Consider the following 23322-nt stretch of genomic DNA (forward strand, 5'->3'; position numbering starts at 1 on the left):
TGGTTGCATTAACATTTCTATTTCTAAATATCCTAACACTATGGACTTTATAACAGTTCTCAGTTTAAGGGGTTGAAACACAGAATGCAGTTCTCATAATCAGGTATACAAGAGGGTACATAATTAATTGCCCTCTTATATTATTGTAATTAAATTATATTATGATTTTACCTTGGAAACATCAACAATTCAATTAAAAAGATTCCTACAAATAAATCATTAGTGCATATAATGTCAATACTGGAATTCCAAGCGAATGACAAGAAAATAGCTTATTTCTTACTAGAGCAAAAAATGTGACGTGCAACCCCTTTTGGAATGTCTATTTGTCTTTAATAAAACTGATGTATGGTTAGCAATATAGTATTACATATGATTTTTAAAAAATATTATCTTTTATAGGTCAAAGCCAGAAGTGTACAAAGTGTTACATGATTTTATTAGTATGGTCAGTTTTATAAAAATAGATTTTCAATATATAAAGAAATCATTAAAATCTTTTACGATGAATGGAAAGGGACCAGAAGAATCTCTGTAAGAGGTTCTCTGCTTATTAAGTGTCAAAATGCTTACAAGAATGGTCAAATCTGAAGATACTGTCAGGATTTTTTAAGTATTTCAAATATGTTCAAATTTTTAGAATGCACAATTGGCAAATGTCTTTTGTAGCTTACATCAGTGGCGTTTGTTCACTACTTTTACTGTAGAAGTGTCTAGCATGTACTTCTAAAGACAAACTATGGAGCTTGAGGAATAGACAAAACATATTTCTGATGGGACATGGGAATCTCAAGCTCTGGGTTTGAGCTGCTTATTCTGGTTATTTTACTTGGGCTGTTTTTTCTATCTGACCAGGATGACAAATTTCCTAAGAGACTTCTATCAGATTAATAGCAGAGAACCTGAGTCAGACTGCATGCATTTAAAAACCACTCCTGACTTTTACTTTATGGTTATCTCAGACCAGTTTATTTACATGTTTCTATCTCATTCTCTTCATCTGCAAATTGTGGGTGATAGATCCTACTTTGCAGGGATTAGAAAATTACCTAGTGTATAAATACTACTCAATATCTATTAGTATATTTCTATTTTATTTTGTCATAAATTGGTTAATATTTCTTTTTTCCTTGTTTTTTTTTCCAAATATCCAGTTTCAGATAACTATCAGTCTTGATTCCCAAAATAATGGATTAAATGATTTCTCTTGAAGAGAGAGGAAAAAAATCTGCTCAGGCCATGTATCTTTCCCCCAAGTGAACTTGCTAATTTTCTCTGTAAGTTTGGGTATGTTGATTTTTCACAGCACTGTTATAGGCACCATTTATTGCACTGCAGAGTATTCAGGGAGCAGTTCAGCTTCTAGTGCTATTAGGGTCCCCAAATTACAAATCACTGTAACTGTGACCGTGCACCTGCAAAACACTTGGCCTGCTAAATTACCTAAATCCTCTTCCTCTAATAGAATATAAATAATTTCATAATAGTTTGAAGAAAATAAAGGCCTTTTTTTGTCACCAGAGTCAATCTGACAAGGTAATTTTGTCTATTACAGGGTTTTGCCTTCAATGTGAACTGATCATATAGCTATGTCATTGGAAGTTAATATCATGCCAACAAAGTCAATTTAAAGAGGTAGTTGTGTAGCAAACTCACCTGAGAACTTATAAGTACCAATAGTTGGCATGAAAAATACTATAGAATAAAAATATATAAAAATATCCTAATGACTCAGAAGAAGATAAGTAGTTCTGTGCGTTATTTTATTAAAAAATCAAAAAAATTGATGGACTAGCATCATAAATAAAATACAAATATACCCAGACTGTGAAATAAAAGAAGAGACCCCTAAAGAGAAATAAGAATTAGGTGAAAAGACAACTGGTTAAGTTTAAATGAGAAATGTAGAATAAGAGAAAAATTGTAAAGAATTTAAAATATAATATTTTGTTCAAATTGTATGTGGGGAGCAGAAAATTAAAACATAGACATGGCCAAAAATCCTGTCAGTAATGCAAGGTAGAGAAAATAGATAAATATTAAAATAATGAAAATATTAGAATGTAATTATGAGTGACAGAAAATGAAGACCTACGCTAAGCATTGTAGGTGCTCTGAGAAATAAAAATATTTGAAAGAAAAGCATCTTAAAATCTTTAATCAGTGAGCAATTATAAAGATGTTTTTCAAATTATTTTGTAATAATCTCTAGTTGAATGGTAGCAACAATATGAATTAGGTAATTACATGTTATGGAAATATCAAGGTTCATTTGCTGGGCTAGTATACGGGCAACTTACAGAAATACTAGAGGTGTGGTGAAAAGAAGGGGTAATAATGATATTAGCCACCTTTGTGCAGGATCTGCCTGTGCCAGACATTGTTCTGAGTACTTCACACACACTGAAATATTCAGTTTTCAAAACAACACTGATCCTCAGAATAACTATATTAGTCAGGGTTCTCCAGAGAGCAAGAACAAACAGGAGATATACAGATATGTATATCTAGAATGAGATTTATTATAAGGAATTGGCTTATGTGATTATGGAGGCAGAAAATTCCTACAGTCCACCCTCTGCAAGCTGGAGACCCAGGAAAGGTCGTGGAATAAATTACAGCTTGGAGCTGAAGGCCTGAGAACCAGGAGTTCTGATGGTGTAAGTTCTAGCTCAAGGGCAGGAAAAGACCAATGTCTCAGCTCAAACAGTCTGGCAGAGAGAGAGAATTCATCCTTCCTTTGCCGTTTTGCTCTATTCAAACCCTCAGCAAGTTGGATGATGCCCACTCACACTGGGGATGGCCAGCTGCTTTACTCAGTCCACCAATTCAAATGCCCAGTCCTTCCAGAAACACCCTTATTGACACACTCGGAAATAATGTCTAACCAAATATGTAAGCGTCTTGAAACCAGTCAAGTTGGCATATACAATTAGCCTCACCTACATTTCAGATGAGGAAACTAAAGAATAGATACGATAAGAAATTTGAGTAAGGACTGCCTAGCTTATGAATGGAAGAAGCTTGAATTTGTACCTGGCTTCTTGGGCTCCATCATTCATCCTTCTGATCAGAACTTGAACAAAGTATTACAAGAGGGCACGCATTTTTCTATAGCATCCTCTGGCATCTGAAAGAATGTCTGACACACAGTAAGCCCTCACTAAATGTTTTCAGAATGAATAAATACATATTTTTACATCAACTTCATTATTATATTTTGAACAATTTATTTCACTTGCATAATCAATTATGAATGTTAAAACATGGAAAAATTGTACCCCTCACAAATTCTCTATACACTTGAACAGATTTTGTTTTATATATTTGGTACTTTGTTAACAAATGGCATAGAAGTTTGTGACTATGAATTGTTCCATTAGTTGTTCCTTTTATCAAAGAGATTGATGTCTCAAAATTTAATTTTACAGAAATAAATTGCCATCATTTATTTTACTTTATCTTTACCCTAATTTATCTTAGTTTGTTTTTTTCATTATTAAATCTCTTTTTAAATTAGTTGCACATTTCTTTTAAGAAACATATTGTTGGACTTTGGTTTTAACCTAATCTACAGCCTTAAGTTTAACCACACATCCTAACTAATGTGCATCTGTTGCATATTGGTATATTTCAAATAATTCATTTCTCTTTCTCTTTTTAAGGTATTATTTTTGTACATTGTTGTCTCCTTTTTAACACTATCTTTGACGTAAAATTTAGTTTTATTAATAGCTATCTTAACACTTTAGGAATACAAATGAAAACAACATTTCTATAATTATTAAAGTGTAAAACAAAAGTGTAATAGCTTGATTTTTCCCTAAAGGAAATTAGCAAAATTGAATTATCCTATTTCCCAGTGTCTACTTCTTATTTTTGTTAAAGTACTGAGTTATATCTTGAAATTAATATTTTGCATGTTTTCTGCGCAGAAATTCATCAATCTTTTCCATTAGGCATCTATTTTCCTCTGCAAGTATTCACCTACTGTAGCAGGGCTTCAAAAAAAAGTCTCTCTCTCTTTATATATATATGCTTCAAAACTGAGTTGTGACACTGAGCTTCTGACAGTCAAAAGGGTCCACCACAAAAGGAAAAAAGCAACAAGTTCATGCCTGATCAAAAATTACAAAGAAAATAGAGGGAGGAAAACAGGACCTTGCCTCTGCCCAGAGAAGGCTAGACAAGCATCAGCTACAGCAGAAGGGAGAGAAGTGTTGCCACATGACTCTGAAGAAGGACAAAGATTAAAGACCAAATGACCAAACTTTGGTGAAACAGAAAAATGATTTTTTCCAAGGAATATCCCTCTATCTTGTGATGAAATACGACTTTATTTTCCTATTCACCTATATTTTAAACTCTTTGCTAACATAATCCTTAAACTGTATAGCTATTCTCTTTCTATACAATATTCTTTCTTCTTTCCTCACTGTCTACTTCCTTTTTTCTGTGTTTTTCTATGTAAAAAAGCTTGTCCTCACACAATAAAACAACTCTAAATCTGTCATGAGAAGTCAGACATAGGAAAAAAAATAGAGGAAAAACTTCAGAAGCCAAACAAGCCATAATAAATTGAATAAAATCCAGAAGTGAAGGAAAATATTTGCAAGCTGGATTACAGTAGGGAATATCATCTATTCAGATCAAGCATTATGAAAAAGATTATAAAATAATTGGCTAAGGTTAATACTTGGAAGATGCCCATGGAATGTGGGACACTGGATTTTTGAAGTAAATGAAAGGCTCAGGATATTGTCCAACATGAATACAGCAGACAAAGCTGAAGTTGAAGAAGCAGTTCAACATGTTCCGCACTGTCTTGAGAATATTTCTGCAAGTATTTAGCATCCAGCTTCCAATTTTGAGGCAGAAATTCATCTTATTCATATGCAGTCATCATATCCATGCCTTGTCTTTTGACTTTCACTTTCCTCAATTTGATATAAATGACTATACCAAAGGAAGATATATATTAAAGTACCTAATACATAAATAGATAATATATAATAGGAAACATGAAGTATAACACACAAACACATATGTCTATTACGTATTTACCTAATAACTACATAATTATACAGAATTAATTATACTATGTTGTGTTTAGGAACAAGTTGCATAATTATTAGATAAATATGAGTGTTTAATATTTTAAACGCTTCTGACATTTTAAATGCCTCTCATTTATAAAAATATTAAGCACATTAAATTTACGGATCCAGTGTGCTTGTCAGAAATTTATAATTAAGTTTAGAGAATTTAACTTGAAATATATGAGATTTTCTATTTGAAATATATGAGAATATGATTTAGTTTAGTTCTTACTCCTTCCTTCATGCACAAGTGCACAATATTTAACAATACTTAATTTACTAAATATATATAATTTTAGTATGAGAATTGTATATACACCATGTCAAAAATTTAACTGCTTGTAACAGTCAAATACATTAAATTTGCATTTGTAGTTTACAATATTTAAGGTCATTTGTTGTTTCCTTTTTGCATACTTAGGAACATCACTAAAGCAAATCACTCTTACACTATTTGTTATCCATTTTTTCCTTTCTTCTTTTCATCCTGAAGTATTTACTTCTTCCACACTGACAAATATTCCTCACTTAACTTCCAGGTCATTATACTTAGCTGTCTTTTTTTTCTTTTAGACATCTACTCTTTAATTTTTATGTACCCTAGTACTCAGTACTCAGAATTATCCTCTTTTCTATTTATACTTATTCTCTTGATATTCTCCATATAATCCTGAGCCAGCCTGCCAACATTTTGGGCCTTGGTTTTCCATCTATAAAATGGAGGTAACTGTACCAATTTTATTTAATTGTGTGAAATAATGAAATTAACATATACTTAGAAAAATGTTTAGAATAGATTCTGGTTCACTAACTATGAGTCATACATAGGTTCTGCAGTTATTATTACTGACTCATCAGTCACCCAAGCTCAAGGCTTAAAACACCTTTTATAGATTGACCACTACCAAATTTCTATCTCTAACTCAGACCTCTCTCCAACTCCAGACTCACATATGAAACTTCAGGATCAACATTTCCATTTGAGTGTCTAGAGGGCATCTCAAACATAGTAAGTTTATAATTGAGCTCATACATTTCCCTGCTAAACCTGTTGCTATCTTAGTCTTTCTTAATTAATTGCAACTGCAACCTTTCGGTTGTTCACACCCAAAAACTTGGAGTCATTTTTTTCTCTTTCTTGTAAATGCTACAGCCAATCCATCAGTAAATCCAACCAGATTTGCCTTCAAAATATATTTAGAATCTCACCCATTCTTATTACTTTTGCTACCACTACACTGGTCCAAAACACTATCATCTACCACTTGGAATATTCTAATAGTTTCTCATTAGCAGAGATAAGGAAGAGCTTGAATTTGGCGTACCATTTTATTTCATTTTTATTGCACCTCATTGTATTTTGCAAAAATATCAATCTACGATAAACTGAAGAAAAATTAAAAAATTGGGTCCATCACTATAGACCAGTTAAAAAGCACTGATAACACGTATGGTAAAAAATGGTAGATAATTCATATGGGAAAAATTAAGTGGAAATGAGAATAAGGAATATGAGCATCAGAAGGCGGAGGCTATAATTGAATTTATTTTTCCCTTCATGTTCTTGTTTTAAAAATTATTTTAAATACAAAAAAGCTGAAAGTAGATTAGTACCCAGGTGCCTTCAACTTTTATTTAACAATTATTAAGATCTTGTTTACTTGCCTTATAATTGTCTATAAATAAACCTATGCATCATTTTTATGTAAATATAAAAATAAGTTGCAGATATCATGACACATAAAACACTCGGCATCCATTTCTAAAAAATGAGGGCAATCTTTTTCCAAAGGTACAGTGCCATCATCACACCTAAGAAAATGTCAATAATTCCGTAATGCCATCTTTTATTAACTGTCCTGGCCACTTCTAAAACTGAATGTTAGGAAAAAAAAAATATATTATTCCTGAAATCTTGGGTCAGAAGGAGATCTGAATTTGGAGGCAACCTTGCTTTAAAACAGTATGGAATTTCATTTTAAATTTATTTTTTTACATTTATAAAAAATTGTTTAATGTAATCTTAAAATAAATGTGTTCAATTGCAATGATAAAAATTTAGAAATGATTTTTCAAAGGTGTACAGACTGTTAAATCCCTATATTTTAAATCCCAAACATTACTATAAGGTTCTTCCATCCAAACCATTTTCTTCACACTTTTCTATCAGTAATGTAATATATTTCTTTGGTTCATTGATGAAAACCCACATAAATATGAGACCTCATTTCACATTATATAGATGAGGTTTTCACATATAGAGATAGTACAATTTCACTCCCTAATGTTCTTAAACCATTTCTTCAAGTTCTCTCCTAAAATGATTGTATATATATATAAAGTATATAAAGGCAAATAGTCAATAATTTATCATTTTAAAGCTAGATGACTATTTCAGAATGTTAGTTCATCTTTCTGATTTTAATCAGTTTATACTGAAAATGTGTGAAACTTTTCCAGAAAGTCAATTTTAGTCTGCAGTTGGTATTACTGTATACATTTCTTTTTACTGAAAATGACATATGCATTTTAAAAATCTGTTAAATGGTGGGGATGTACATTACTGGCAGAATCATTCACATAGTGGGGATGTTTTCTCCTCTCATAGAAAAAACCATGAAGTATCTAAAACATTTTGCCCTGTGCATACATCTACAGATCTCCTGTCTTCTCAACTACAGATTGGGTTGAGCAGAACACAGATAATACAGAAGTACATTTTTTTTCCAGATTAAACTAGGGTAAGTACAGAAAAGCATATGTCTGTATATAATATAGAACTTTATATTTATTTGAAACACGTATATGCCAAAATCATCCTGCAGATGTTCAAGAAACTTGTTTACTAATTTGGTCATTCACTTGTATTTTAAAAAAAGAATATAATCTTAAGTTTTTAGATTGCTTAACATTTAGAATTTCTTTTCATTTCTGACTGCTTTCTGAATGAGGAACTCTTAATTTGAAAGACTGTTGGCAGAACTGACTCAAGTACATCAGCTCATGCACAATATGTTGTTCCTTCTCTGGAACTGTACATATTGTTTTTCTTCCCCTTGTGGATGTTTATTTGAAGGATGAATAGGTCACTCTTAGCAGGAGAGCTAGTCATGTGACTGCCAGATACTGAAGACAGATGAGTCAGTTCCATGCAGACTACAAATTATGCATGCTGGATAAATCTATATTCATATTTGCATTTGACCTAAGCCTCAACTTTAAAAATAGATTTAACAGAAATTATACAGAAATTCAAAAATTGTTTTGCTAGGAAGCAAACAAGTTATGCAATACAATTTAAAAAAAGAATGTTCCCTCTGCAAGAAAGAGATCACATTAGTGATGAAATACTATATGTCAGTCTGAGCTTAAGCCCAAATTCAAGAACATACTGTACACAAAACTTCTGAAATCTATTTATCTGATGTGTGACTGATAGCTATTGATGCAGCTTGGAGACCTTAGGGCGATACTGACTCCCCATCATTTGTCATTATAAAGTATTCTTTGAATGGAAAGTTGTTTGCCTTTCATGGTCAGGGGAAAATAGTCCTGGTGGCTGGGTGCTAGTTAGAGGATAAGAACGTGGGCTAAGAAGGCAAGGAGCTGGTTTCAAATCCTAGTTTGGCTGCTTAGTTGATTACATATATCTACAAATTATAACTGCATTAGTTTACTCATCTGTAAAACGTGACATGACTAATAATGATACGTGCTCCACAGGACCAAGCTAAGGTGTGACTCATCTGACATAATCTTCTAAACAATTTAGCATACGGGTACGTACTTACCTAGGCCGTAATACCTGTATTTTCTTCTCTTTCGTTCTTTCTTTCTTTTCTTTGTTTTGAGACAGGCTCTCACTCTTATCATCTAGGAGTGGTGCGATCTCAGCTCACTGCAGCCTCGACATCAAGTCAAGTGATTCTCCCACCTCAGCCTCCTGAGTAGCCAGGACTACAGGCATGCACCAGCACGCTCAGCAAATTTTTGTATTTTTTGCAGAGACTGGGTTTCATTGTGGTGTCCAGGCTGGTCTCCAACTCCTCAGCTCAAGTGATCTGCCAGTCTTGGCCTCCCAAAGTGCTGGGATTACATATGCATGAGCCGCTGCACTTGCCGTCCCTCGCTCCCTCCCTCCCTCCCTCCCTTCTTTTCTTTCTTTATTTTTGAGAGTCTTGCTCTGTCACCCAGGCTAGAGTGCAGTGATGCAATCTCGGCTCACTGCAACCTCCACCTCCTGGGTTCAAGCAATTCTCCTGCCTCAGCCTCCCGAGTAGCTGGGATTACAGGCAAGTGCCACCATGCCAGACTAATTTTTGTATTTTTAGTAGAGAGGAGGTTTCACCATGTTGTCCAGGCTGGTCCTGAACTCCTGGGCTCAAGTGATCCACCCCTCAGCCTCCCAGAGTGCTAGGATTACAGGCGTGAGCCACTGCGCCTGGTCTGATTTTCTTTTTAATTAGGTCTTTGTATATGTGCTATTGCACCACAAGACTATAGTGCACACAGACTGTGATTTTTGTAAAATTTTCTATGCATTCTAAGATCTCAGAAACATTTGTCTTGCCTCTTTTCCCAACATACAAGAATTTGAAAAATAAGCCTCCTTTTAACAAAGATCTGCAACTAATTTTTTAAAAAGAACCCTGAGAAGAACAAGGATATAATGCTAAATACTGATCATAGCTAAGTAACAGCAAGTTGATGGTGTATGAGGACTAAGTTCTGATTTTTTTTTTTTAATCTTGCCCAAATTCCTTTCTAAGGAGTCTGGGGAGTCATGCCTTACAAACCATAAATTCTCATCAGATGGGTTTTATTTGACCCTATATATCATGACTTACTTTTCAATCTGACTCTGGCATAACTTTATAAGACAAGCAAAAAATATTTAACCCCCAAATATATTTCCTTGCCTTACCTTGAAATTGACCTGCAAAGTCTCTTGTGGGAAAAATCCACATTGTATAGAAAATCCCCTTTCCCCCTTGTTTTCCTTCCTCTCTTTCTAGATCCAGAAGATAATCAACTAAGAGCCAGGCACCCTTTTAGGTCTGATAAGAAACAATTTACAACCTGCTCTCTCTCTGAAGTCAGCTATCTGAGAGATTCCTCTGCACAATAAAACTTGGTCTCCACAATCCTTTATCTTAACCTGAACATTTCCTTTGATCCCAGGTCTTCAGATAAACTCAACCAATTATCAATCAGAAAATATTTAAATTGTCCCGTCTTTCTGAATGAAACCAATGTATTTTTTTTTTTTTTTTTGAGACGGAGTCTCGCTCTGTCGCCCAGGCTGGAGTGCAGTGGCGCGATCTCGGCCACCTTTTTCTCTCAGATGTGTTTTTGAGGTGTATCCATGTTGATACAGGTCACTCTAGTTAATTCACTTATCTGTTATATAATATTTGTGGATTTAAAATATATTTTTTCTTGAGTCAACATTTAAAACTTTTAAAATTTCTTGTTTTACAAACATTGCTGCTTTGAACATTTTCTACATCTCAATATACAAGAGATCTACAAGCTATCCAGCAAGAATGGCGGGGATATTACCATCCTCAAATGCACTAGAGAGTTTCTAAATTTGTCTTTCCACCTGATTGTAGCAATTAACATTCTCATGGTATAACACAGCCTTTTTGGTACAATTACATATTGTTAATTTCATGGACACAAAAATTACTTCATGGTTATTGTAATTTGGGTTTTTCTGATTATTAGTGAAATTCTATTTCTTATTTTTTGACTATTGAGGCTTTACTTCTATAAATTTTCTCCATATTACTTGTTTATCTTGCCATTTATACAGTGGACAGTTTTCTTAATGATTTTGAAGTATTCCTGATATAATCTATACCATCTGTTGAGAGTTGCATACATTGCAAATATCCTATCCCACCTTGTAACTCATATTTTAATATTTTTCTTTTTTTGCACAAGCATTTTAACTTTTAAAGTAGTCGAGAAGTTTTTAATTAAAAAAAATCTTTCTCTGCTCAAGGACAAAAAAATTCTCCTTTACCTACACCTTGTGTAAATCAAGAATGCTATTTTATTTTATTTTTTCATATACAACCAATTGTTTAGGCCTTTCATTTGAGTCCACTATTTCCTCACATTTGTCTTAAGTCATGTTTTTATATATGAAATGCCTGTTTTTTTGGCTTTATCTAATTCCACTGATCTCATTATCTATTATGTATCCCTGAACCAACTGTACAATATCCTGGTTGCATAAATTTATGATTTCTTAATATCCATACTGTTGACTTTTATACTCTTCAGAATATTCCTATTACAAGTACACAATCTTCCCATATAAATGTTAGAAATAACTGGTCAAATTAATGATTGGCAAAATTTCTAAACTTAAAGATCAACTTGAAAAATATATGACTTTAATAATATTTAAAATATTAATAATATTCAAAAATATAAATGACTTTAATATATTGCTTATCTTATCCATGAACATTATATGTCTCTTCATTTTATTTAATCTCTGAAATCCTTTAAAAAGTTTATTGAATTTTCACCATCAAGGTCATTCATGTATTTTATATAATTCATTTCTGAATACCTTGTGTATATTTTTATTGTATATTCTAAAGTTTTAGATATATTATCCATCTGTTGCTGAGTTATAGAAAAGGAATTGACATTTATACATTGACCATAAACAACAATGTTGCTGACCTCATTTATTAAGTACAATAAATTGTCTATATGTGATCCATAGTAAACTATGGAGATATATATCTTATATAAAATTTAAAAATATCGTTTACCTGTGTTTGTTTTATTTTCTTATTTTACGATTTTACAAAGGTATCTAGTACAAGGTTTAATGAGACTGGGTATCCTCGTCTGATTCTTATTTTTTAAGAGCTGGACATATTGGTTCACAACTGTGATCCTAGCACTTCGGGAGGCCAAGATGGGAAGATCACTTGAGCCCAAGAGTTTGAGACTAGCCATGTCAACATAATGAGACCCCATCCCCATTTTTTTTTAATTAGCTGAGTGTGCAGCACATGCCTGTAGTCCCAGCCACTCAGGAAGGAGGCTGAAGTGGGAGGATCATTTCCACCGAGGAGGTTGAGGCTGCAATAAGCTGTGATCATGCCACTGAACTCGAGCCAGGGTAACAGAGTAAACACCTTACACACACACACACACACACACACACCACACACACACACACAAAAGAGAGAGAGAAAAGAGAAAAAAAACTTTTTGACATTTTAACTATATTAAAATGTTCAGTGTAGGCTTTGTTTATATCATTTACCAAAGTAAGAAAATTTTTATGTATGTTACCTTGTTTTGTTTGTTTGTTTTTTTCTGAGATAGAATCTCGCTCTGTCAACCAGGCTGGAGTGCAGTGGCACGATCTTGGCTCACTGCAACCTCCACCTCCCAGGTTCAAGTAATTCTCATGCCTTGGTCTTACAGGCACACGACACCATGCCTGGTTAATTTTTGCATTTTTAGTAGAGACAGGTTTTCGGCATGTGGGCCAGACTGGTCTCGAATGCCTGACTTCAAGTGATCCACCTGCCTTGGCCTCCCAAAGTGCTGGGATTACAGGCGTGAGCCACCATGCCCGGCCTATGTATGCTATCTTGTAATGATTTTTGTTTTTTAAATTATAAAATAGGTTTTGAATTTCATTGTGTAATTATTCTGAATCTTTTGAGATAACTGTATGCTTTATTTTCTTTCATTTATCAATGTGATAAACTTATACATATTTCTAAAGGTAAGCAATCTTTGCTTTCTATGTTTGCTTATATTTTGCTGGATTTGGCTTACTTATATTTTGTTTAGAATTTTTGCACTGCATTCTATTTTAATGAGTAAGATGATTCTATAATCTTTTTCCTACTGTCTTGTCAGAAATACAATAAATCAGCACTATCTTTTTGTTAAATATTTTTGTGTGAAATTCATGTACTAAACTATCTGGAGGAAAATGTTTTTTTCTGTCTCTTTCTCTTTTTAAGTTTAGATTTGTCTACTGATTGAATTTCTTCAATATATTTTTACTATATAGATGTTTGTTAATTCTTCTTAAGTTAGGTTTGCTTAGTTATGTTTTTCTAGGAAATAGCCCATTTTATCATCTTTCTGAATAATTGTCCCAAAGTATTTAATAGTGTTCACTTTCTAATTTTTTACTATATTTATAGGTTTTTCTTAATTTTTATTTTTAATAGTTTCTGTCGTTTATACACTCTTATTTTCTTGATCTGTCTCAACAGAGTTTTATCAACTTTATGTGCCTTACCAATGATTCGAAGGCTGGATTTTTTTACCTTTGCTGTATCTTTCTTTGTCTTTATTCAATTTCTGCTCTCTTCAATACCTGTTGTAATAGTTTTGTGGCTTATTCTATAACCTTTCTTTTCAAACTTTTAAAATGAGCTATTTACTTCATTTTTCTTTCTTCTTAAATTTTAATATTCAATTCCATAAATATTATTTACCATTTATTTCCACTGGATACTACTTGTTTACTCTGTATCATTTTCATTAATATTTATTTCTAAATATTTTCTTATTTCCATGATAAGTGCTCATTTGTTCCATGACTTAAGAGCATATCTTTACATTTTCCTTAAGTATCATTTATATTTACTTCTACCTCAATTATGCTGTTGTCAGACAAAGCATTTTTTTTTTCTTGTTTTGAGACGGAGTCTCACTCTGTTGCCCAGGCTGGAGTGCAATGGCGCGATCTCCATTCACTGCAACCTCCGCCTCCCGGGTTCAAGCCATTCTCCTGCCTCAGCCTCCTAAGTAGCTGGGATTACAGGCATGCGCCACCACGCCTGGCTAATTTTTGTGTTTTTAGTAGAGACGGGGTTTCACCCTGTTGGTCAGGCAGGTCTTGAACTCCTGACCTGGTGATCCACCCGCGTGGGCCTCCCAAAGTGCTGGGATTACAGGCGTCAGCACTGCACCCGGTCAACAAAGCTTTCTTTATGACAACTATTCTTTGAAGTCTGAAACATGTCTTACGTGCAACCATGTGGTGTATTTTCTTTAAAATTCCATGTGTGCTGAGAAGAGTATGGCTTTCTAAATTAGATCTGGGATCCCATGTATGCTCTAGTCAAGCTCATTACTAATGTTATTTAAGGGATCTGTATCCACAAAAGTAACGATCAACCTGCCATTGGGAAATTCCCACAATATTGGTGAATTTGAAGCTTCAAATAATTTTTGCTTTATATATATAAAACTCTCTGTTATTTTTGTGGTGACCAATTTAGAATTGCTGTTCTTTCCCAAATAATTATATTTTTATGTATGCAATGACTTTAGTAATAGTTTTACCTTGTAATCTACTTTATCTGATCTTTTAAAATTTAATGTTATTTTCATTTATTGATTAAAATCCATTTCTTTAGCTTAAAATTTTATATCCATGTTTTTCAAGCAAAAAGCATATGGATAGATTTTTGTAATTCTATCTAAAACTTTACTGAATTAAGTTCATTTGCATTTCCTGTAACTACTAATATATTTGAATTTATGTTAATATATTGTTTTGTTCTTGCTATTTATTCTGCATTTTCCATTCTCTTTCCTTACTTCATTCTATTTCTTCCTTTTGGTATTAATCATTCTTCTCAGTCTAGTGTTTTGGACATCACACATTACATTTTAATTATTCTGATTGTTAACAACAAATCTTTTTTATTTTAATTTTTTAATTTTTATTTTTTTTTGAGACGGAGTCTTGCTCTCTCGCCCAGACTGGAGTGCAGTGGCGTGATCTCAGCTCACTGCAAGCTCTGCCTCCTGGGTTCACGCCATTCTTATGCCTCAGCCTCCCAAGTAGCTGGGACTACAGGTGCTCACCGCCACGCCCAGCTAATTTTTTGTATTTTTTGGTACAGACAGGGTTTCACCATGTTAGCCAGGATGGTCTCGATCTGCTGACCTTGTGATCCGCCTGTCTTGGCCTCCCAAAGTGGTGGGATTACAGGTGTGAGCCACCGCGCCCAGCCCAACATCAAATCTTTAGTATTTTAGCATTTTACAGTTTCCATATTTCTATGTCTTTTCTCTTGAACAATACCAAACCATTAGAAATCTTCAACTTACTCTTATGCAACCTGCATACTATTACAAGCCAGTGTTTTAGTCCTACCCTATTTTCACCTACAAAATTGAGAGTTTTGATTCTTATTTTATTTAGTCAAATTTTGTTTAGTTTTACCAATGTGTTTACTTACTCCTTTTTCAGTTAATTGACTCTGTTACATCTCAGTCTTTCTACCTTCCTTCTGGATTTAATTTCCTCCATCCAAAGTACATACTTTGGAAGTCCCTACATAAGGGTTTTTTAGTAATAAATCTCTGGTTTTGTTTTTCTGACCAGAAAAGGTCTTTGTTTTGTCTACCTTCTTAAATTATTTTCTACATTATTATAAGAATTCTATGTTGACAGATATTTCTGTGTAATCACTTTCAGGATATAATTTTACATTTCTGGATATTATTGTTGTTTTAGAAGCATGCTATCAGTCTAAAAAATTTAAGGGAAGAGTACTTTTCTGGCTGTATTTAAATGTTGTTTTTGTCTTTGTGAGTTTTGAAGTTTTACAATGATTTATCTAAATGTGGAAGTTTTAAAATTTTATTTACTGCTGGCCAGGCGCGGTGGCTCATGCCTGTAATCCCATCACTTTGGGAGGCCGAAGCAGGTGGATCACCTGAGGTCCAGAGTCGAGACCAGCCTGACCAACATGGAGAAACCCCATCTCTACTAAAACTACAAAATTAGCCAAGCGTGGTGGCACATGCCTGTAATCCTAGCTACTCGGGAGGCTGAGGCAGGAGAATCGCTTGAATCCGGGAGGCGGAGGTTGTGGTGAGCTGAGTTCGTACCATTGCACTCCAGCCTGGGCAACAAAAGCGAAACTCTGTTTCAAAAATAATAATAATAATAATAATAATAATAATTTACTGTTTTAGAAATTCCTAGGAACATATATTGTATAAATTCAAATCCCAGATTTACATGAAGATATGCTTTTTTGGCTAAAAAGATGAGATATGATCATTTTTAACCCACTCTGATTTCAGACCATAGGTAATAATACTTTGTTGTCTTACTCTTACTTTGGACTTTTTTTTTGTATTCCACCATTGAATTAAGGGAATTGCACTTTGAATACTGCTATTTTATACAAGAGTCTAAGTTACAGCTCTTTGACTTGCCTGGTTGGTCTTTTTCTATAAGCCTCTTAATACTCAAATGGTCTCTGTTTCCAAGATTAGCAATAGTGTCTGATTACCCATTATATTTTCTGCTCCCTCTTCGTTTTTCACCCCTAGGATTACCTTGTGTGTTAAAAGGTTATTTATTATATTCTACCCATGATTTCTAGGTGTTGTTTTTTGACATTTTTTCAGGGTATTTATTTTGGTACATTGCAGATAATTAAAGTCCACTGCATTTAATTTTAAGATAACTTGCAAGTGTCTTGCTTATGTCATCATGGGTAATGAATTTAGTTTTTATAATGCTTTTATATTGTTTCTTTCCCTAACACTTCTAGCTAACTTCACCTAAAAAAAAAAAAGTTATGTGAGGATGCTTGTAAAGAGTTTCAAAGGAAGTAAAATGGTAAGGAATGCTTACACAGAAAACACACTTTGAATGTTTAGCCTATGTCACTGACACAATGGGACTTATTAAATACTACTTAATAACTACAGACTAAACCAATTTGTCACTCAGTCAATTAACTTGAATTTCATACTGTGAGATGGATTTATGTGAAGATTTATGTGATGATGGAGCTATCACCTGGGAATAAAAAAAAGTTCTTACCCTGAACATAAATTCTTATTCTGATTGACTGAATTTACTTTAAGATGCCAGAATTTCTAGTATAATTTATGGCCTAAGTAGTACTTTGGTTTTAAAAAAAATAGTAATGTATTTTTAAAAAACATAAAGACAGTTTAATATATAATGAAGTTCTTCAATTTTCCCATATATACTGAGTAGCCTTATTTAATTATGTATCATAATCCCACTTGGTTATGGCAACTTTTGAATGAAAAGCAGATAATTAGAAAACATATTTTTGTCATTGAAAACATATATTTGTCATTTTTATGGCTCATTTTATAGAGAAGAAAGAAGACACTAAAGTTAGCTGACCTTAATCATAAGATGAAACTAGGCAAAACACTAACATGAAGAATATGTTTTAAATCATATTTAACCTTAAGATGTGGTCAAAATTATGTATTTTCTGTATAAAATACTTATTTTGTATATATAAAATCTTTGATGATATAATAATTATATGACATAATATATCTTATCACAGAAGATATGTTATATGATAATAAAATAATTATCATATTATAATATAATAGAATATAGAATTCTGGAGAGATAGTGATAGTTTTTAGTTTCTACAGATTCTCCCACAAAACACTAAGCAACTACAATAATAAAACCAAAATGTTCACAGACAACAACAATAGATATATATGAAGAAATAGGCAGGGAAAAAAAAGAAAACCATCACCAAGACCTTTGTGGTATCATTTTCTTTGCAAGAAAACATAAGGGGAAGTTAAAGTGGTTTCTTGTGCCTTGAAAGCTAAAACCCATAAATCACTCTAAGACAGTCAACAGATGATTTAGAAACACAATTTAAGAATCAGCTGAAATGAGATTTGCTAGATTTACATTGCATTTGTGTGCAAGAAGGAAATGTGAGTGAATGGAAGTAAACCTCATGTTACTGAGATGTCTGGGCCCTATGAATTGATATTAACCAAAATGAAATTTCCTTTCAGGAATAAACCTACACTGTGGTCAATCCCTTAGGGTAGAAGCTAAACTGACAAAACTGGAGACAACCCAAAAATCCACTAGTAGGCACTGGCTGAATAAAGTGTGGCTCATTTACATAATGGAAGAATACACAGCTCTACCATGAAATAAGGAAAAACTACGTAAACTACTATCAAATCTTCAGGATACAAAATAATCTGAAAAAACAAGCAAAGAAAATGTATACTGTTTGGTGTTATTTATCTACATAAATGGTGAGTGGTTACAAATTCATTTTTATATTCTTATTTTTTTAAATAAAAGTCTAAGTCATAAACTGATATTGCTACCTATGTAGAGGAGAGAGAGTAGATGATGAAGATCAGGAATAACAGCTAGACTTTTTTTAGGTTTTATTTTATTTTCAGGGGTACGTGCGGAGATTGGGTCTAGAGATAAATTGCATAGCACAGAAGTTTGGTTTACATACTATTTTGTCACACAGGTAACAAGCATAACTATCCTAAATATATATGCACCCAATACAGGAGCACCCAGATTCATAAAGCAAGTCCTTAGAGACTTACAAAGAGATTCAGACTCCCACACAATAATAATGGTAGACTTTAACACCCCACTGTCAACATTAGACAGATCAATGAGACAGAAGTTAACAAGGATATCCAGGAATTGAACTCAGCTCTGCACCAAGCGGTCCTAATAGACATCCACAGAACTCTCCACCCCAAATCAACAGAATATACATTCTTCTCAGCACCACGTCACACTTATTCCAAAATTGACCACATAGTTGGAAGTAAAGCACTCCTCAGCAAATGTAAAAGAGCAGAAATTGCAACAAACAGTCTCTCAGACCACAGTGCAGTCAAACTAGAACTCAGGATTAAGAAACTCACTCAAAACTGCTCAACTACATGGAAACTGAACAACCTGCTCCTGAATGACTACTGGGTACATAACGAAATAAAGGCAGAAATAAAGATGTTCTTTGAAACCAACGAGAACAAAGCCACAACATACAAGAATCTCTGGGACACATTTAAAGCCGTGTGTAGAGGGAAATTTATAGCACTAAATACCCACGAGAGAAAGCAGGAAAGATCTAAAATTGACACACTAACACCACAATTTAGAACTAGAGAAGCAAGAGCAAACACATTCAAAAGCTAGCAGAAGGCAAGAAATAACTAAGACCAGAGCAGAACTGAAGGAGATAGAGACACAAAAAACCCTTCAAAAAATCAAATGAATCCAGGAGCTGGTTTTTTGAAAAGATCAACAAAATTGATAGACCGCTAGCAAGACTAATAAAGAAGAAAAGAGAGAAGAATCAAATACACACAATAAAAAATAATAAAGGGGATATCACCACCAACCCCACAGAAATACAAACTACCATCAGAGAATACTATAAACACCTCTATGCAAATAAACTAGAAAATCTAGAAGAAATGGATAAATTCCTCAACATATACACCCTACCAAGTCTAAACCAGGAAGAAGTTGAATCCCTGAATAGACCAATAACAGGCTCTGAAATTGAGACAATAATTAATAGCCTACCAACCAAAAAAACTCCAGGACCAGACGGATTCACAGCCGAATGCTACCAGAGGTACAAGGAGGAGCTGGTACCATTCCTTCTGAAACTATTCCAATCAATAGAAAAAGAGGGAATCCTCCCTAACTCATTTGATGAGGCCAGCATCATCCTGATACCAAAGCCTGGCAGAGACACAACAAAAAAAGAGAATTTTAGACCAATATCCCTGATGAACATCGATGCAGAAATCCTCAATAAAATACTGGCAAACCGAATCCAGCAGCACATCAAAAAGCTTATCCACCATGATCAAGTGGGCTTCATCCCTGGGATGCAAGGCTGATTCAACATACGCAAATCAGTAAACGTAATCCAGCATATAAACAGAACCAAAGACAAAAACCACATGATTATCTCAATAGATGCAGAAAAGGCCTTTGACAAAATTCGGCAACTCTTCATGCTAAAAACTCAATAAATTAGGTATTATGGGATGTATCTCAAAATACTAAGAACTATTTATGACAAACCCACAGCCAATATCATACTGAATGGGAAAAAACTGGAAGCGTTCCCTTTGAAAGAAGTGGCACAAGACAGGGATGCCCTCTCTCACCACTCCTATTCAACATAGTGTTGGAAGTTCTGGCCAGGGCAATTAGGCAGGAGAAAGAAATAAAGAGTATTCAATTAGGAAAAGAGGAAGTCAAATTGTCCCTGTTTGCAGATGACATGATTGTATATTTAGAAAACCCCATCATCTCAGCCCAAAATCTCCTTAAGCGGATAAGCAACTTCAGCAAAGTCTCAGGACACAAAATCAATGTGCAAAAGTCCCGAGCATTCTTATACACCAATAACAGACAAACAGAGAGCCAAATCATGAGTGAATTCCCATTCACAATTGCTTCACAGAGAATGAAATACCTAGGAATCCAACTTAAAAGGGATGTGAAGGACCTCTTCAAGGAGAACCACAAACCACTCCTCAACGAAATAAAAGAGGATACAAACAAATGGAAGAACATTCCATGCTCATGGATAGGAAGAATCAATATTGTGAAAATGGCCATACTGCCCAAGGTAATTTATAGATTCAATGCCATCCCCATCAAGCTACCAATGACTTTCTTCACAGAATTGGAAAAACCTACTTTAAAGTTCATATGGAACCAAAAAAGGGCCCACATTGCCAAGACAATCCTAAGCCAAAAGAACAAAGCTGGAGGCATCAAGCTACCTGACTTCAAACTATAATGCAAGGCTACAGTAACCAAAACAGCATGGTACTGGTACCAAAGCAGATATATAGACCAATGGAACAGAACAGAGCCCTCAGAAATAATACTACACATCTACAACCACCTGATCTTTGACAAACCTGACAAAACAAGCAAGGGGTAAAGGATTCCCTATTTAATAAATGGTGTTGGGAAAATTGGCTAGCCATATGTAGAAAGCTGAAACAGGATCCCTTCCTTACACCTTATACAAAAATTAATTCAAGATGGATTAAAGACTTAAATGTTAGACCTAAAATCATAAAAACCCTAAAAGAAAACCTAGGCAATACCATTCAGGACATAGGAATGGGCAAGGACTTCATGCCTAAAACACCAAAAGCAATGGCAACAAAAGCCAAAATTGACAAATGGGATCTAATTAAACTCAAGAGCTTCTGCACAGCAAAAGAAACTACCATCAGAGTGAACAGGCAATCTACAGAATGGGAGAAAATTTTTGCAATCTATTCATCTGACAAAGGGCTAATATCCAGAATCTACAAAGAACTCAAACAAATTTACAAGAAAAAAGCAAACAACCCCATCAAAAATTGGGTGAAGGATATGAACAGACACTTATCAAAAGAAGACATTTATGCAGCCAACAGACACATGAAAAAATGCTCATCATTACTGGCCATTAGAGAAATGCAAATCAAAACCACAATGAGATACCATCTCATACCAGTTAGAATGGCGATCATTAAAAAGTCAGGAAACAACAGGTGCTTGAGAGGATGTGGAGAAATAAGAACACTTTTACACTGTTGGTGGGACTGTAAACTAGTTCAACCATTGTGGAAGATAGTGTGGTAATTAGTCAAGGATCTAGAACTAGAAACACCATTTGACCCAGAGATCCCATATCTGGGTATATACCCAAAGGATTATAAATCATGCTGCTATAAAGACACATGCACACGTATGTTTATCGCAGCACTATTCACAATAGCAAAGACTTGGAACCAACCCAAATGTCCAACAATGATAGACTGGATTAAGAAAATGTGGCACATATACACCATGGAATACCATGCAGCCATAAAAAAGGATGATTTCATGTCCTTTGTAGGGACATGGATGATGCTAGAAGCCACCATTCTCAGTAAACTATCGCAAGGACAAAAAACCAAACACCGCATGTTCTCACTCATATGTGGGAACCGAACAATGAGAACACCTGGACACAGGAAGGGGAACATCACACACTGAGGCCAGTCGTGGGGTGGGGGGAGGGGGGAGGGAAAGCATTAGGAGTAATACCTAATGTAAATGATGAGTTAATGGGTGCAGCACACCAACATGGCACATGTATACATATGTAACAAACCTGCACGTTGTGCACATGTACCCTAGAACTTAAAGTATAATTAAAAAAAAAGAAAAAAATATATATATACCCATTATTGGGATTGCTGGGTTGAACTGTTGTTCAAGTTTTTTGAGAAATTGCCAAACTGCTTTCCACAGTGATTGAATGAATTTATATTCCCATCAGCAGTGTATAAGTGTTCCCTTTACTCTGGAGCCTCATCAGCATGTTATTTGTTGACTTTCTAGTAATAGTCATTCTGACTAGTATGAAGTGGTATCTCATTGTGGTTTTGACTTCATTTTTCTAATGATTACTGGTGTTGAGCATTTTTTCATATGCTTGTTGGCTGCATATATGTCTTCTTTTGAAAAGTGTCTGTTCATGTCTTTTGCCCTCTTTTTAATGGGGTTGTTTTTAACAGCTAGACTTTCTTCATTTGATCTTATTTTTTAGATTTCATACTACAGACAGGTACATATTTTACACAAGTACAAAACAAATTTAAATCAGCATGAGAATATATGAAAGCAAGTGAAAAATTTGCATCAAGTTTATGGCTTAAAGAGACAGAAAGACATTATTCCAAGTGACCAAAAAACATAATAAATTGTAATACCTAGTAGGGATACATAAGGTAAGAGCAAAAATAACTGCAAAAATATTCTACAGCTATGTTCAGAAAACAAATTTTTGGTAATACTGTTTGTATTGTTATTCAGAAACTATTATGTCTACAACCAGCCTTCCATGTTCATAGGTTTGGCTTTCACAAATGCAACCAACTGTGGATCAAAACCTGCAGATGAGGAGGGCCAATTGTACCACTTGGTTTTATATGAGAGACTTGAGCATCTTGGGATTTTGGTATCCTCAGGGGTCCCAGAACCAATCCCCCATGGATGCAGGTAAATTACTGTATATAACAGATAAACCAAGTCGTTATGTAAAGCCATCAAGAACCTAGATTTTTTAACAAAAGATGAAAGAGAAATTAATATAAAATGGCTGAAGTTAGGTAGAAAATGAAAATAGCACATTTGATTCATAAATATAAGTATGAATCTATGATGTACATTCTCTTAAAGAAACATTTTCTCACTAGAAAGAAAGCCAATTACAGAGAACAAAAAAATGGAACAAATTAGTAGCCATGAAGAGCATAGAACAAGCTCTGTGTCTCTGTGTCTCTATGCACCACAAGGACTCATGCTCTTTGGAGATATGGCTAAATTCAGTTC

General features: G+C 34.1%; 2 long non-coding RNA genes across 2 annotated transcripts in view; one reads left to right on the forward strand and one right to left on the reverse strand.

Moving 5' to 3' along the window:
- LOC102723724 (uncharacterized) overlaps positions 1–23322 on the reverse strand; it is a 104643-nt gene that overhangs the window by 56001 nt on the left and 25320 nt on the right. The window contains exon 2 of the long non-coding RNA XR_428030.5: positions 3037–3142. This is a non-coding gene — a long non-coding RNA (uncharacterized LOC102723724). The remainder of the gene's footprint in view (positions 1–3036; positions 3143–23322) is intronic.
- The window catches only part of LOC124901413 (uncharacterized), a 31714-nt gene continuing 25075 nt past the window's right edge, over positions 16684–23322 (forward strand). Inside the window, exons 1-2 of the long non-coding RNA XR_007059792.1 lie at positions 16684–16752; positions 17946–18197. This is a non-coding gene — a long non-coding RNA (uncharacterized LOC124901413). The remainder of the gene's footprint in view (positions 16753–17945; positions 18198–23322) is intronic.

The sequence above is a fragment of the Homo sapiens genome, chromosome 6, assembly GCF_000001405.40.
Source record: "Homo sapiens chromosome 6, GRCh38.p14 Primary Assembly".
NCBI classification, from domain to species: Eukaryota; Metazoa; Chordata; class Mammalia; order Primates; family Hominidae; genus Homo; species Homo sapiens.